The 18,255-nt window shown below is 35.7% G+C and overlaps 1 protein-coding gene and 1 non-coding gene across 2 annotated transcripts in view; both read right to left on the bottom strand.

Moving 5' to 3' along the window:
* PRPF39 (pre-mRNA processing factor 39) overlaps positions 1-18,255 on the bottom strand; it is a 32,167-nt gene that overhangs the window by 1,667 nt on the left and 12,245 nt on the right. The window contains exons 4-13 of the mRNA NM_017922.4: positions 17,611-17,729; positions 11,920-12,087; positions 7,000-7,165; positions 6,094-6,201; positions 4,836-5,000; positions 4,396-4,522; positions 3,799-4,067; positions 2,114-2,298; positions 359-433; positions 2-122 (exon numbers count right to left, since the gene is read on the bottom strand). Coding sequence (NP_060392.3) covers positions 2-122; positions 359-433; positions 2,114-2,298; positions 3,799-4,067; positions 4,396-4,522; positions 4,836-5,000; positions 6,094-6,201; positions 7,000-7,165; positions 11,920-12,087; positions 17,611-17,729 — 1,503 coding nt within the window. The remainder of the gene's footprint in view (position 1; positions 123-358; positions 434-2,113; positions 2,299-3,798; positions 4,068-4,395; positions 4,523-4,835; positions 5,001-6,093; positions 6,202-6,999; positions 7,166-11,919; positions 12,088-17,610; positions 17,730-18,255) is intronic.
* SNORD127 (small nucleolar RNA, C/D box 127) lies at positions 3,641-3,741 on the bottom strand. Its single transcript, NR_003691.1, has one exon. It is a non-coding gene; the product is annotated as a small nucleolar RNA, C/D box 127 (small nucleolar RNA).

Below are 18,255 nucleotides of genomic sequence, written 5' to 3'. Positions count from 1 at the left end.
CTTGATACCACGCACTATAATTATATACAGCTTGGTTTGCCTGTAAATCACCATCAATCATCTGTGTAGATGATGAAGTTGTATCTTCTGTATGTGCTTTCTTTTCCTCTGGTTCTTCTGATCTATATAAAACGTCAGAATGGAAACTTTCAAAACTCCCACAGGTAAGAACTTTAACGAATAGATGAATGTTATCTGTATATTTGTTTTACTGAAGTTCTGAATCACTCAAGACTTTTTCAAATCATGAAAATAAAGTATGTAAATTACAACATAAAAGTAACACTTAAAAACATTTGTCTTTGAAGGCATTTCCATAATGAAGCACGCCTTCTTGACTTAGCAAAAAGTGACATACCCATTTTCTGCTTTCCTTTTTAAAGAATCCTGTTCTTTCAGGAGTGTTTGATGTTCATCATAAGCATTCAGAAGCCTGAAAGGAAAGAAAAAAATATCCTCTGGAATATACAAAAAACAAACTTTATTAAATATTTAAAGTTGTTTTTACTTAGGAAACTGCCTAAGAAAATTTCTAAGCGGCTCCTTTATTTTTAAAATTTCTACTACTAAAATCATAGTCCTGATACTCAGACACTCCATTCCCTATACTTATAATGGACTAAATGACACTTGTGTTGAATCTCCGATTTGTCTGCCTGTTTTTACCAAATTAAAATAATGTCATTTAACATCACTGGTCAAAATTCCAATAGCTTACTACTGTCAGCTACCTACTGCATGTGCTATCAATTCAGTCTAGCTTTCAATGCACAACACAGTCAAGATCACGCTTCCACTACTTCACAAAAACCTCCAATCAAGCAGATGTTACTTTTAGATGAGATTCAACTTGCTTCCGCCACTGTGTCCTCTGCTCAGTTTATCAGAATCCAGTAATAACTAAATGAAGCCCAACCTCCTCTATGAAGCATGACAAATCCATTCTGATCGAGAGACATCACAGCCCTCCTAGCAGTTATTTGCTACCTCATACACTTACTTCCTGTTAATCATATCATTCAACCAGACTAGAAGCTAGAATTACATATCTCATCTTTTGTGTACCTTCTTCAGTGTAAACATAAGACACTAAATACACAGCACACAAGCAGTTAAGAGCAGAAACTCTGAAGTAGGTTCAGTCCTCGCTCCACAATGTGATAATAGCTACATGACCTCAGAAAAAATGCCTAATCTCTGTTTAATCCTCTCATCTATTAAGAGAACAGAACCCTACACCCTCATTCTACTGCTATGAATTTTCTGCAAGATAGCTAATATAAAACATTTGGCATCATGCCAAGCACGCAAATATATACATTAATACATTAAAATACACTAATATAAACATTAGCTGTTATATTAGTTGCACTGAAATTTTACACAGCCATCAAAAATATATACACACATATACAAACACCCAGACACAACTAATTCTCAGTTTATCTACAGTGGTTTCAACAGAAATCTAAATGCGAATAATCATAAAAGGCACATGCCTAACAGGAACTGGTGTATTTGCTTACTACAATCAGATAAGACTGGAACTTCAGCAATGCTCTAGCCAATATTTGTACTCTTAGTAAATTTAATCTTAAACTTGTCCTTTTCCCAAATCCACTGGAGCATTCTCTTCAACCATCCTCAACTTTCGGCTTTTACAATGAAGGAAGATGAGGCCACTAGGCATGTTCTGTGGGACCATATCCATCCTCTTCTCCAATCTCAGAAAATAGCACTCCTACTGGAGATTAATCCCATCCATCTTTATTGACCTATATATTAAATATTTGGGTTTCAGGGTTCAATCCTTATCCCATTTCCCTTTTCACAGGATTGCTCCTTCCTGCCTTCTCTCATTCAGTCATGGTTTAAATTGTCATTCTAAAATTGGGAAAACAGTTTTGAAGGAAAGACAAACCTTATGCCTTCCTGTTAAGTACATATACATTTACAAAATTGAATTTACCCCCATATATATCTGAGGAAAAAGTAAACTAAGCGAACATTTTAAAATTTAACAATGTATTAATCTATACTAATCATCAAATCCCCATACAAAAATATCAATGCTCATTTATCATTCAAATAGGTAATATAACTAATATCTTACTTATTAACATCGGAACCAAAATCTTCAAGAAATTCCACTTTTCTCTGAGAAAATGTAATTCTCATTTTAATAGGTAATGAACCATGTACAGCTTTGTCAAAACAATTTAGGATATTTTCTTCATTTTGTTTGAGGTCACCACTATATTCCATTTCAAGTAAATTGAGGTATAACTTTGTGTTCTCCTGTGTAAAAAGCAGCATCAATGAATATTTCTAAAATATTTTTATTAGAGCACAGATATTTAAAATGCCTTAGTTTTTATGTCTCAATTTGAAAAAATATTGAAAATTGTATTAAAATACAACTCATGCTAAATGTTTTCAGCATATATCTAAAGGGGTGAAAAAATTCATTAACACACTGATGAATTTTTCAATCAGTTGATCATCCTAGTACCTCCTAAACAATGCAAATTGTTCAATGACAGTAAATTAAAACTCTATAGCCTATCTTGTATTTAGTATGACATGACCTACCATGACAATTAGAAAACAAAACATAAAAAAAAATCTCTATGCTTCAAATAATTTAAATCTTTACTACAACTATAGATAAACATCTTAACCGGGCGTGGTGGCTCATGCCTATAATCCCACCACTTTGGGAGGCCAAGGCAGGAGGATCACTTGAGGTCTGGAGTTTGAGACCAGCCTGGCCAACATGGTAAAACCCCATCTCTACTAAAAATACAAAAATTAACTGGCGTGGTGGTGCACACCTTTAATCCCAGCTACTTGGGAGCCTGAGGCAAGAGAATGGCTTGAACCCAGGAGGTGGAAGCTGCAGTGAGCTGAGATCACGCTACTGCACTCCAGCCTCAATGACAATGAAACTCTGTCTCAAAAAAAAAAAAAAAAAAAAAAAAAAAGCCCAGGTGCAGTGGCTTACGCCTGTAATCCCAGCACTTTGGGAGGCCGAGGCAGGCAAATCATCTGAGGTCAGGAATTCAAGATCAGCCTGACCAACATAGTAAACTGTGTCTACTAAAAATACAAAAATCAGCCGGACGCGGTGATGCATGCCTGTAATCCCAGCTACTCGGGAGGCTGAGGCTGGAGAATCACTTGAACCCAGGAGGCAGAGGTTGAAGTGAGCCAAGATGGCACCACTGCACTCCAGCTTAGGCGACAGACTCAAAAAAAAAAAGATAAACATCTTAAACTGCAGCTAGAAGCAAACTGCTATAAATCTGTATCTTAAACAGACCTGGCAATAACTAAAATCCTAAAACTTGAGAAATTACCTATTACCTATACACTGCCTTTTTCAATTGATATATAAAAAATATAAAAAGTACTCTATGGAGAAGCAAAATCATCTCACTTCTAAATGTGCTTACAACATAGGCAACGCCTATGCTTTTGTTTATGAAGTATTCTCCCAAGTCCTCTGTTCTACTTAGTAATCAGTAAATTTGTTGATAATTTCTAAAGGGAAAATATAAAGTATCACAATGTCTACAACAATTTTAACCCAATAATCTTAATGTCTAAAACTTTTAATTCAAAACAATTTGAAAAAAATTTTTAAATGGCAACATCAGTTTAGAGGGACTGTTGTCCTCATTTAGTAATAAAATCTATTACATACAGACCAAATCTTTCATCACAGTTGCCACAGTGAAAATACACTGACCACTGGTTTTTTTAATAGAAGATACTCTTAAAAATACAAATGCATACTTTGTCTCTTTCGATTGCTTCCAAAAGCACCTTTCTTGATTTTGGAAGGTTTTTCTGTATTTTGAAAAGATGCCGGGCTAGTTTGACAGCATAAAATGAAGATTCATTATTTGATTTGGCATTCTTAATGGCATCCTGAAGCAAATGTTCAGCTTCTTCCAGATTTCCATGCCGTCGTTCTAAACTTACTCTTCGTAAACGAACCATTGCCAATCCTAGAACACATTCTTCAAATGTTTTCAAGATATTCCTGGCTTCATTAATATTACCTAGAAACAGTAATTAAATGTTTATGCTTTGGTTTAAACAACCAAAATAACGTTTATAACCAGATACTGGCAACAATCACCCATGGGCTAAATCCAGCAACTAATAATGGGAAACAGCCATGCATATTTACACACTGCCTATGGCTGTTTCGGGGCTACAATGGCTTACAAAGCCTGAAAGTCAGAACACGTGGCTTTTACTATCTGGCCCTTTAGAGAAAAAGTTTGCCAAACTCTGCTTTACACCATCCCTTACCACTCAATTTGTCACTGTTTCCTGAAATAACTTAAAATCTCAAAAATGTCAACTGAATTTCTCCACTCTTACCCTGCTGTTCCTCAAAAGCTGCCCAAAGCATATGCACCATGGGTTTCTTTGGGAGATGTATAGTACAAGCTCTGCTGAAGACATGCCTCACTCCTTCAATGCTATGGTTTTCCATGTACTTGGCATACTACATACAGAAAAGAGGAAATACTGAATAATTTACAGTTGAACAAGCCATTAAATTTGTGACAGAACGATAAAATTCTATTTTTAAACCCATTCAGCACCTTTATTGAACCACTAGACTAGTTTCTGTAAGGAAGGACGAAGAGAGGCAACGAGGTTGGCATATGCAGCAGTCAAATCTGGTTGCAAGCAGACCATCTCCTAATGCAACAGATATAGTTATATGAACAACATTCAACAGAAGTACAAAAAAGGTTAGTCACTAGATCAATGTTTATAATATATTCAAGTTTAAGAGCACATGATTTTCTTACCTTAATCCAAAACTCCTCATAGAGGGCACATGATATGACACATCTTTCAAAGAGAACCACAACTCGTTCATGAGTCCCATTTTCAATTTCAAATTCTAAGTATTCTTTCCAGTTTTTTAGTTGTGCCTTTTCCAAAGGTTTCACATGAAAGTAAGGTCTTTTAATCTGAAATGAAATTGTAACATGCCAATGAAAGTAAACCAATATCACCAAAATATGCACATGTACAGTGTTAATACAAATAATTTTAAATATAATTGATGATTAAAATTTTTAATCATATTTCATAATTTAAAAAACTTTTAAAATTAACCCTTAAATTCCTTAAGCTTTACAAACAAATGAAATAATACATTTTCTCTCTATTCTGCCATTTTGCCAATTACATGCTTTTTAATGTACAGAACATTTTATACTTTGTTGAATATTTTAAAATTGAACAACCATAGTGACAGAAAGCAGATCAATGGCTGCCTAGTGCTAGGAGTGGAGAGGGGAACTCTGGCTGGAAAGGGGCCAAGGGGACCTTTGGAGTGCTAAAAGAGTTCTGTATCTTGATTGCTGTGATGACTACAATGTATATACATATATCTGTGAAATGATTCCATATTCTAAGATTCCATTCATATGAAAGGCCATTATAGGGAAATCTACAGAAACAAAAAGCAGTTGGTGGTATCTTAGCACTGGGGGTAGAGGGTCGCAGCTGAGGAGGTAGGGGTAGTGACAACTAAAAGTTAAGGTGTTATTTTTTGAGGTGGTGATTATGTTTTAAAATTGACTGTGGTGATGGTTGTACATATCTGTGAATATACTAAGAACTATTGAACTGTATACTTTAAATGGGTGAATTATATGGCATGTGAATTATATCTCAGTAAAGCAGTCAAAAAAAACCAAAGAATTAAAACTGTGGGAAATTACCTCATTTTACTATATATCTAAAATGGGTGAATTGTAATGTATGTAAAGTATAACCCCAAGAAGTTGACTTTTAAAAATTGAACAATTAGAATAAAATTGTTCAGATTAAGCAGATATCTTGCAATTCAAGTAAATCTGGATTCAAACATTCTAAAACTCATCAGGGAAAATGGAAAAACTGATAATGATTACAATAAATGAGACAAACATCTGAAGTTATGGCTTAAATATGCAAAAATAAAGTTACAACAGAGATAGTACTATCAAAATTGAAAGAAAAATAAATTATTCCTACTTTGTATTTTAAAGACTATTACAAAACAAAAACACTTACACCTTCTTCAAATGTCCACCTTTTACTAACTTCATGCTCATTATAATTAAACATTTCTTGATGAATCTCAATGATTCTATGTCTCATGTTTTCTATTTCTGTAATTAGCTTGGGAAGAAAAAGGGAAAAAAATAAATCTCACAAACTGTATACTGAAAATTTTCAATATCACTGCTTATATTTAAGTATTATTCACAGATATTTTAGTCTTAGAATAGTGGTAGATTTTTAACTGTTGGCAATTATGTGCAAAATCCAATTAACAACACTAAAACTTATCACACAACTTCCTAATTAACCACTTTCATATTTTTTCTTTTTTTCTTAAATTGGGCTAGTAGATACACAACCTAGGCAAAATATTCCTTCTAAGCTAAGTTTTTTTTGGGGTGTCTTGTAGTAAAATAGATTCTCTACCTTAAATCTATACATACAAGCTACTGAATCCCCACTTGCCTTAATCAGAAATTAACTTCAAACAAGCTACAAGTCACTGGGTAAATGGCCAGTTATATAAGTGATCACTGTGCCACTCATGGAGTCAAGGGATAACAGGTCCAGTTTCTTCTGCACTAAAGACCTTTTTTTCCCCCCGAGATGGAGTCTTGCTCTTTGGCCCAGGCTGGAGTGCAGTGGTGCCATCTTAGCTCACTGCAACCTCCGCCTTCCAGGTTCAAGCAATCTTCCCACCTCAGCCTCCCAAGTAGATGGGACTACAGTCATGTGCCACCACACCTGGCTAATTTTTGTATGTTTAGTATAGACAGGGTTTCACCATGTTGCCTACATGGGTCTCAAACTCCGGACCTCAGGTGACCCGCCTACCTTGGCCTCCCAAAGTGCTGCGATTACAGGCATAAGCCACCATACCTGGCCACTGACGAACTTTAGAATAAGACTGGTTACCTTTGCAGGATCGGTTATGTCTTCAATTCCCGATGGTAGATCATCACCAGGAGGACCATCATCACCACTATGACCATTTACAGAAGCTAATTCCCTTCGCAACTGAATAAACTGTTCACCAGTTAAAAGATCTCTAGGCAAATTATTCTGTACATGTTCTTTAAATCTAAAGGAAGACAATAAAAATATATGTATTTGAATCATAATTTTAGATCTCATATTGAGATTCCTACTATATACTACTCTTTCAAAGGATTTGATTTAAAAAAGAAACCAAAATATCATACCTTTTCTCCTTCTTTTCTATAGTAAAATCCTACCATATATGATAAAACACTACCATATGATAAAACAGTCTATAGACATCTTCAATTTCTTCCTACCTTTACAGTGGAATGGAGAAGGCATGGACGGGCATAAATTCAAACCTCAGTTCTGTCTGTTACTGGTTATCTGACTAGGGAAGGTTTTCTTTTCTCTAAATCTTAGTTTCCTCAATTGTAAAATAAGATGATAATACCTATTCGTGTGTCATAGAATCTATTTTACTACAAAGACATAAAAGTTACAGTAAAATTAAATACTGTAATCCATATTTAAATTCTAAATGATCACTTGTAAATAACCAACAAATATAGCATTTCCTTCCCACCTCCCAAATACTCCTCATCCACATGTGAGTACGCAAAAATCCAATGAAACTGCCCAATTAAGATTATCAATTACCTCATATATAAAATTAAATGGACACTTGTTTTGTAGTATGGTCCTCCAAGCCTCTGACTGCTGCTCTATGTCTTATTCCCCTTCTTACCTGCCCTAAATGCTACTATACCCAAGTATTCCACTCTCCATTTGGTTCTCATCTATTTTTATTAATACATACTTCTGGCCAATCTCATTCATACAGCTTGAAATAAGTATACCATGATGACTCTCAAAACTACAACACAAGTCCAAACCTTTCTCCTAATCACATTAGCATATACAACTGCCAATACTCTGCACAAAGAAATGTGGATTAGTTTTAAGCTAATCTATAAAAAGATTTTTGAAAAAAATATCATTTCACTATTTTATAAAAACATGCAATAATTTGTATACATACAAATTGTAATCAAAAATACCAGGTTGAGGAGCTAAAATATCTACACTATCACAATTTGAATATACCTTTGGAACCTCAAATATGAAATATTTTAAAATAAGTATGGCATCTTCATCTGAAAATGAATACCCTCAGTATTTCTTTCTTTATTTTCTTGTGTGAGATGGAGTCCTGCTCTGTTGCCCAGGCTAGAGTGCAATCGTTCTATCTTGGCTCACTGCAAGCTCCACCTCCCGGGTTCAAGCAATTCTCCTGCCTCAGCCTCCCAAGTAGCTGGGATTACAGGTGCGCACCACCACGCCCAGCTAATTTTTCTAATTTTAGTAGAGACGGGGTTTCACCTTGTTGGCAGCCTGGTCTCGAACTCCTGACCTCAGGTGATCCACCCGCCTCAGCCTCCCAAAGTGCTGGGATTACAGGTGTGAGCCACCGTGCCCCGCCACCCTCAGCATTTCTAATATTGATTAATGGTACTGTCAACCACTACATCTCTCAATCTCTTCCACCTAGCTTTTCATTTACATTAGATACCAGGTCCTACTGACTGTACCTTTTAAATACATGTTCATCACCTCGGGACTTTTAAGCTGGATAAACATAAAATGACCTTGCAGCCTCTAGTCTCACAACTCCCATTCCCACCTCTATACTACTATCAGAAATGTTACTAAAAAGTAAGCAAACAGGTCAGGCGCCTGCTGACGCCTGTAATCCCAGCACTTTGGGAGGCTGAGGTGGGCGGATCACCTGAGGTCAGGAGTTTGAGACCAGCCTGGCAAACACGCTGAAACCCATCTGTACCAAAAATACAAAAATTAGCTCCGTGTCGGGGCGGGCACCTGTAATCCCAGCTACTCGGGAGGCTGAGGCAGGAGAATCACTTGAACCTGGGAGGTGGAGGCTGCAGTGAGCCAAGACTGCACCACTGCAATCCAGCCTGGGCAACAGAGCGAGATTTCACCTCAAAAAAAAAAAAAAAAAAAGTATATAAATAACATTGGAATCTAATTTAAATTTTGCAAAGTCAATGGATACAGAGGCTAACGGCCCATTTCAGCACCAGGTGGAAAAAAATTAACAAAGATTGCCTTATGTTAAAAAATTAAAAATAAGGAAGTAACTCTCAAATATGTAGTATGAAAAAACAGATTTAATTACAGATGAATATTAAAACTCAGAATGGTCAACAAATGAATTAAAAACTTAAGGTAAAATTTCAAAATAACTACATACAGTACATAAATCTAAAATGACTTATTGCTACATCATGTAACAACTTCTTTAAAACAGTGACAAAATGTGCATAATATTAAGCAGTATTTTTTCAGCAGTTTTTTGTATTATAAAGCTAACATTTATTCAGTAAAGACTGGCTGACTGCCTAATATATATTGAGCTCTATTCCTAAATATTAGAGATACAAAGAATTAAGCCTCAGAAACTGACAGGCATGTTGAGGATATAAGAGACATAAATTCAAAGCAGTGTTACTGGTGCTAATATAAATGTAAATAAATGTAGGTAAAGTCATGGCACAAATAACAGACTAGGTATCTCAGTATAGGAGAACCAGAGAAAATTTCACAGAGAAGACACAAAACTGTGTGGTCTCAGGGAATATAAGTCCACTAGACAAGTGGAAAGAGGAAAAGGTATTACAGTCATAAAGATATAAAACAACACTGCCCTTTGGGAAGTTATCAGACTTAGGTGTGTCTAGAGCTCAGGAACCACCAGGGATTGGACCTGGATGTTAGACCAGATCACAAAGTCCTCATGCTAAAGAAGGATTTAAATTAGACATTATCTCAGAGATAATGTGCAGGGTACATCCAATGGTACAAGCCTAATGCACAAGCACAATAAAAATATTTCCATTATTACTGTATACCACTTAGAATATCTTTTTTAACACACGCCTCCTCCTCTATCCTTCTGACCAACTCACAGGCAACGCTATTTACACATGGCTTCTTTGGGCCTTCATTCCTACAACTTAAATAGCCTATCAACAGGTACACAGCAAATGCTAAATAAATGACTTTAAGAAAGAGGCATGTGTTATGGAAAAAAAAAACAAAACATTCAGTGGTTCTCAAAGCAGTTAGTCATGTGAATTAACTTATATAAACTATAAGAACTGCATAAAGATTACTTGTGAGTTCACTATAACTGATAAGGAAAGTGGTTCTAAATGCATTAAGTGAAAAATATCAGATTATAGATCAGTATGTGTAATATAATCCCACTAATATCTATTGTAAGTATATATGCATTTTTAAAAGCCTAGGGTAACTGACAACTTAAAGAAAAATAAATAAATAAAAGCCTAGTGGGATATTTATTTAGAAATAAAAAAGATTTGTAGGAGAACATATCAAAAACTTCAGGGCCATACTGTCTAAGTTCCAAGTAGCTTCCAATCACTTACAAACTCTGTGGCCTTAGATAAATATGCTAATCTCCCTGTGTCTCCCCTTTCATAAAATGGGAACAATAGTACTTGCCTCACTGGGTTACTGGGAGGATTAAGTGAGTTACAAAGCACTCAGCACAGTGTCTGGGATATAGAAAATGCTATGTGTGTTTCCTACAAATATTTTTTTTCCATCATCAGTAAAGTTCTTGTAGTCATAGATTTTTCCTATACTTTAAATCACAGAAGAACTAGTCTATGAAAAGACACCCTCTTTGGCCCATCAGGTAATTTAAGTACTTTTGTACTTATGTGTTTGGTAACTATTTACCAAGCATTTCCATATGCCAATTCTTACTTGTGTTAACATCTTTCAGCAAGTGTCTTCCTAGGTCGTTATACCTTAGAAACCTGCCTGCTTCCTCTATTTCATCAAGAGCAGAGAGAATATTCCTATCTATATGCTTCCTATTTCTAACCTGAGTCTGTATAACTTCTACCTTTAGCACATTGATCCTTAGTACTTTACAAATGCTTCATAAAAGTCTTCTACTTTTGGTACTAAAAAAAAAATTTAGAAAATCACTCACTTAAAAAGTACCTAAGTTTATACAATACTACTCATAAAAATTATAACAAAAAATAGAAAATACTAAGTTTATACAATACTACTCATAAAAATTATAACAAAAAATAGAAAACATGCCAATTTAAAAGCAAAGACACAGTCCTCATACTCGTTCAGAAAGACTTTCTGGATCCTTATTTATGGGATACTCTGAATAAAGCAGAAAACAGAACACAAAAATAATGACACAGAATTAGTTGTTTTAACAGTAATCATTAAAATAAAAGGATACCAATTGTAACAGAAAAATCATTTTAGAAAATTAAAATGGAATGATACCTGAGTGTTTGAAAATAGATACTACTTACTATATAAAATGCATCCTTCACTGTTTTGGATATAAGGTGTTATAGCAATCACAATAATGTATATTTAGCAAATCATTAAGTTTCAAAAAAAATAAGCATCTATCATGTGCCAGGCACTGTGTCAATTTAATGCCATAAATAAATAACTCAACTTAGGTACTATTTTCTCATTCCTTCATTACTCTGAACTACCTTAGACAAGACAGAATTCCTGTTTCTCTTTATCCATTAAAATGAATAAGGAGAAACTTCTATCTAAAAACAGTAAAATTTCTAAACATTTCATAAGGCATATGAAAAAATGTCAAAAGCAAGCATGTAGGTTGTGATTAGCAACAAAATTTATTCCTCTTTCCACATAATAAAAGCTTACATAACATTCCAAGATAATTATAATACTTAATATTACCAACTATCTGAGTAATCAAAGATGTTTCAATGATCAGAATTTCCCACCTACCTCTGAAAATGATGACTATACAGCTGTGTTGGAATACCAAGAATACGATCATATATAGCTGTAACTTCTCTCAGGTTTCCCTGCTCATTTTCCCAGTTTATATACATTTCCCACAGTCTGTCAGAACGGAAATCTGTTCCTGCAGCTAGAACAGCATGCTCAAAAGTTCTGAAAAATTAAATTACTCTTAAGTTATCTTTCCAAGATAAAATCACTTTTAAAATATTATTTCTAAATTTAGAAGATAATGCTAACTTCAAAAATTATATTCAACTGCTTCCTATGCAAGTAGGGATTAAAGGGTAGACAGAATAACAGAAAGCATACAACAGCTGCTTAAAAAGAGTGAGAAAACAAAGAGAATAGATAAATGTACTTTTTATGTAACTTTATCAAATAGAAAATTAAATACAAAATGTACACATTGCAAATAGGTAAGAGTAGACATGTAAGTATTTGTTAAATCTGAAATGTCTATTGTATAGATTGATTTATGACAGAAGACAAAATTAAAACAAGTAGGAAGTTAAAGAGAGGCAAATTTTATCTCAATTTAAGAATATTTTCATGAGGCATGGTGAAATGGTTACAGGCGTGATTACAGGCTCATGCCTGTAATCGCAGCACTTAGGGAGGCTGAGGCGGGAGGATCACCTTAGGTCAGGAGTTCAAGATCAACATGGCCAACATGGTGAAACCCCATCTCTACAAAAATACAAAAAATTAGCCAGGCATGGTGGCACATGCCTGTAGTCCCAGCTACTTGGGAGGCTGAGGCAGGAGAATTGCTTGAACCCGGCAGGCGGAGGTTGCAATGAGCCAAGATTGCACCACTGCACTCCAGACTGGGCGACAGAGCGCGACTCTGTCTCAAAAAAAAAAAAAAAGTATACATATACTTTAAACCTCTCAAAAGCCCCTCTCAATTCTAAAATTCTATCATTAAAGTTTTATCACAGGCTGGGCACGATGGCTCACACCTGTAATTCCAGCACATGAGGCCAGGAGTTTGAGACCAGCCTTGCCAACACGGCGAAACCCCATCTCTACTAAAAATACAAAAATTAGCCAGGCGTTGTGGTGCACATCTGTAATCCGAGCTACTCGGGAGTCTGAGGCATGAGAATCACTTGAACCTGGGAGGCGAAAGTGGCAGTGAGCTGAAATTGCACCACTCAACACTGCACTCCAGCCTGGATGACAGAGCAAGACTCTGTCTCCAAAGAAAAAAAAAAAGTTTGTTACAAAGTATTTTAAAATACCTAGTCATGTCAAGAGATTTCTGTAAGCAATTTTAATCACTGGATTTAATACTCCAATGGGATAAAGCTTTTAGATACATACTTTCAAGATAAGTATCTTAGAATCAAGAGAGATTTTTAAAAAGTATAAAACTACACTCCCCTAAGTTAAACCACAATTTTAACACAATTTCAATAAAGCGCTAAAAAATGTTTAGTGGAACAAGAAAAAATCAAATTCTACTATTCATCTAGAATACAAAAATGCAAAATGACTTTGTAAAAGGATAATGCAGCAGGCATTTTCCTGAAAGATAATATAAGAAACTAGGAAGCTATAGTAATTACACGTTTGGCACTGGCCAGGTAACAGAAAAATGGATGAACAGTACAGAGCCAAGAAAACAAAAAAGAGATCAATGTGTGTGAGTATTTGGTGTATGATATAGGAGATACTTTAATTCAACAGTGGGAGTATATAAAAGGCTAATGTCTATCTCACGACAGATAGAAATTAAATTCAGATAAATGAATAAGCAAAAAACTATAGAAAAGTTAGAACAAAATACAGGATTTATATATTTTTGGTAAAATAGGCACAAAACTCAGGAACCAGTAAGAATTAAAACAGAAGCACATTAAGGAAAAATAAAACTCCATATGATAAAAGACACCATAAACAAAGTTAAAAACATACCAACATTGGAGGAAATATGTTTAATATAGAAATAAAAGATTGAAGAGCATGTGTGTCTGTGCATGCATGCATGTGCATATTTGGTGTAAGGTTTTCAAAAGAATAAAATAGATGTTACTGTCCCTACAGAACCCCAAATGATTCAGAAAATTAACCAGACACTGAAAAAAGTATGGAGAAAAGGGGAAGAAGACAAGAAGGTAATGAAATGAAGACAGAACGTTTAGAAGAAGGTATACTTAATGAATCGTGAGAAATCTTCAACTTTCCCGCCCAGCTATGGGGATTTCAGAAGCTAGGTGTCCATTCCCCAAGTAAATAAAATTATCCTTTTCTAAACAAACTGCTTGGCTCAGGAATAAGATATAAGGTTACTATCACTGGGAATCCACCAGCAAAAAGAGTGGCCACATGATTACACTACTGTGAAACACCATAGGCCAACTGACAATGCCCCATACAAAACACACAGTGCTTCCATATGCTTGTGTTTTGTTTTGTTTGTTTGTTTGTTTGTTTGTTTGTTTTTGAGACAGGGTCTCGCTCTGTCACCCAGGCTGGAGTGCAATGTCACGATCTCAGCTAACTGCAACTTCTGCCTTCCAGGTTCAAGCAATTCTCCTACCTCAGCCTCCTGAGAAGCTGGGATTACAGACTCCTGCCAGCATGCCCAGCTAATTTTTTTGTATTTTAAGTAGAGACAGGGTTTCACCATGTTGGCCAGACTGGTCTCGAACTCCTGACCTCAAGTGATCCACTGTGCCTGGCTCATATAGCTTGTTAATATCTAATCTGTAATAGGAACAAAAATCCAGAGATCACATATCTCAGAGATGAAAATGGGTAAACAGAAAAATTTGAGAGGAAACCGTCCTGGGAACAGAGGAAAATCTCAACTATCCTTAGTATCATCAAAGAAATAACAAAAAGATATGCAGCCATGAAACAAGAATTGGAGAGTATAAAAAAAGGAACACTCAGAGAACAAGAAAGATTCTTGGATATTAAGAATCTGGGCCGGGCGTGGTGGCTCACGCCTGTAATCCCAGCACTTTGGGAGGCCAAGACGGGCGGATCACGAGGTCAGGAGATGCAGATCATCCTGGCTAACACGGTGAAACCCTGTCTCTACTAAAAATACAAAAAATTAGTCAGGCGTGGTGGCAGGTGCCTGTAGTCCCAGCTACTCAGGAGGCTGGTGCAGAAGAATGGCGTGAACCCAGGAGGTGGAGCTTGCAGTGAGCCGAGATCGAGCCACTGCACTCCACCCTGGGGGAGAGAGGGAGACTCTGTCTCAAAAAAAAAAATAATAATAATCTGATGGAAGATGTTAAAAATCCAATACAAGGGTCAAGGAAATACCTCAAAAAGCCAGACAAAGTCTAAGATATGAAAAATAGGAAGAAGAAAAGAAAAACTCAGTAATTAAAAGAAGAGGTCCAACATCCAACTATTAAAAACAACAGAGAAAATCAAGGCAAGGAAACTGTCAAAATAAGAATATCCATAATAATAACATTTCTAAGAATAGAAGGACATTAGAATCTCAGAATGAAAAGACTCACCCAATCACCCAATAATCACAATAAGAAAAAGAAAATCCACATCAAAGCTCATTTTTATAAAACTTCATTTACATCAGACCCAAAGAGAACATCCTAACAGCTTCCACAGAGGAAAAACACATTATAGAAAGAGAATCTATTCTGCAAGAATGGTATTGGACTTCTCAAAAGCAATAGCAGAAGCTATAAAGGAATAAATAATGCCTTCAAAGCTCTATGGAGAAAATAATTTTCAACTCCAAATTCTACAGCTTACCAAACCTTAAAATTATTTTTTCATCCAAGCATCCTTTAACAAGAAGTTATAGGACACACTCTTCTAAAAGTTGGACATGAAATCAAGAAAAGAGTGAGATCTAATAATAAACTCACCCAGAAGTGAGGTAAAGACATCTCCTAGAACCATGATGATAAGAAAATCCCAAGACAACTCTTGTACAGCAGAACTAGAAGACCAGTCCAGATTATAGTAGGAAGGTTTCCAGGAGACAGCTCAAAGGAGAGGAAAAAATGGGACTTACACATTTTTTAACAGATCTGATTGTATAGAAAGCTATATTTAAAGCCTTCTACAAAGCTGCTGGAGAGTATGAAAAAACCTTAAATGTTCAAAGAAAATTAGACAAACGGGAAAAATGAGGGGCAGGGGAGGAGCAATTAAAAACCAAAAAGGTTATAAAATGAAAAGACAGTATGATGAAAAATATTTATAGGTTTTTGATCTCTCTCTCTTTTTTTTTTTTTTTTGAGACAGGGTCTTGCTCTGTCATCCAGGCTGGAGTGCAGTGGCACGATCGATCTTGGCTCACTGCAACCTCCACCTCCCAGGTTCAAGCGATTCTCTTGCCTCAGCCTCCCGAGTAGCTAGAACTACAGGCATGCGCCACCATGCCCAGCTAATGTTTTTTGTTTTTGAGACAAGGTCTCACTCTGTCACTCAGGCTAGAGTGCAGTGGTGCAATCACAGCTCACTGCAGCCTCAACCTCCCAGGCTCAAGCGCTCCTCCCACTTCAGCCTCCCAAAGTGCTGGGATTACAGGTATAAGCCACTGTGCCCATCCTTATTTATGGATTTACAATGATTAAAAAAAAATACTGAAGCTGATTATTGAAACCTATTCTGTAGCTATATTGGAAAGATAAGGAATGAGAAAACAAAGTGTAAGTGGGTTAAAATTCTCACTTACCGTAACAGATACATAATGTCTACAGCTAACAGAGAAAGAAAGAAAGCAACATAGATCTACTGTTAAACACATGGTGGAAAATACCAGAAGAAAGAGCTAAAATATTTGAAGGGAGGTGGAGGTGGTACTTTTTGTTACAAGCAGTTTAACATTAGCTAACTTCTTAAGCAATATGCACATGCTTTTTTTTGAAAACCAAAAACAAGTACATTAGCAAACTACTGTAATCAAGAAAAAGATAATGTAATAGAAAAATGAGCAAATAATATCAACAGGTAATTTAAAAAATGGCTTATATAAGCATATGAGAACATGGTAAACCAGGATGAGCAATCAAGACATAAACAAATTAAAAGAGATGCCACTGGAGGTAAAACAAACAAAAAATGTGGCACAGCTGTGGGAAAATGATTATTTTCATACACTGTGGGAGTTTAGAATCGATACCATTTTTGAAGGAACATTTGATAAAACTGAGCTGTGTGTTCCCTTTGACAGAAGTTCCATTTCTAGTGCATTCTACAAAAAATATTGACTTGTACAGAGATGTTCACTGTAGCACTGATTATTTCCTATAAATAAGGATTTGGTGAAATAGAGTACTTTGGCTTATAAGATACTTTTTATAAAGTATTATAAAATACTTTTTGTAATTGTTAAAAAATATGGCAGGAAGAGATTCCCAAACATTATTAAAAAAAAAAAGTCAAAGAGCAGTATGAAAGCATACGCATAAACATGTACTTATACATATATCTGAAAGAACACACACCAAGCTATTAACCTTGAGGAGTGGAATTGGGGACATAAGAGGCATGGACTGTAGGAGGGCTTTATTATCTGCATTTTCAAATCATAAAGCTTAAGTTTATTACATGTATCATTTTTTTAACAATGGAATAGAAGTTAAACTTCCAGCTTAGCTTTCATGAGCTCTATTATCAACATCAGAATAATTATTTATATCATAAAAAACATTTCAGTATCAATGTTCCACATACCCTCTTATTGTATTGTTTGTCTCAGGATCACCAGGGTCCAATGTTTCTTTTAAGAAGTTTATATAATGTATCCAAAGGTCAACACTAAGAGGTATTGCCTGAAGCCCCCGCCGATAAACCTAAGAAGAAAACAGCAAACTGTACTTCAAATATTTAATTATTTCTTAACAGAGAGGCAACACTGTGTTATCCGGTGAACCTTAGAAATACTAATTACTGGAATTTTGTTTAAATAATCTACCATTACCATTTGGGTGGAGGTTGGATAGAACATGGCAATGTTCTGATCCCCACGTGCAGAGTCTTGATCTTCAAAGCGCAGCAGTCCCTGCATTCTGACCGGGTTGTGTGGGCAGGCTTTGGGTTACAGACCATAGGGCACAGACCCATTAGAGCATCAATGACAGCGTCTGACCAAAAATGCAATAAGACGTAGCAAATGTGACTAGCAAACCAACTATATTGTTTGGAAAATGAGAAATAAATGTAAGTGAGAGAAAAGCCCTGCCCTACTTGTTAAGCTGCAGTGTAATACAGAGGCTTGCACTGCAAAGCTTGACAAACTGTAGAGGTTTAACGCACCTGCCAACAAAGAGAGAAAATATTAGCTACAAATGCCACAAGAGTGACAAATGCAAATAAATA

Source organism: Homo sapiens, chromosome 14 (assembly GCF_000001405.40).
Source record: "Homo sapiens chromosome 14, GRCh38.p14 Primary Assembly".
Lineage (NCBI taxonomy): Eukaryota > Metazoa > Chordata > Mammalia > Primates > Hominidae > Homo > Homo sapiens.
This window is presented reverse-complemented; position numbering and strand designations above follow the sequence as displayed.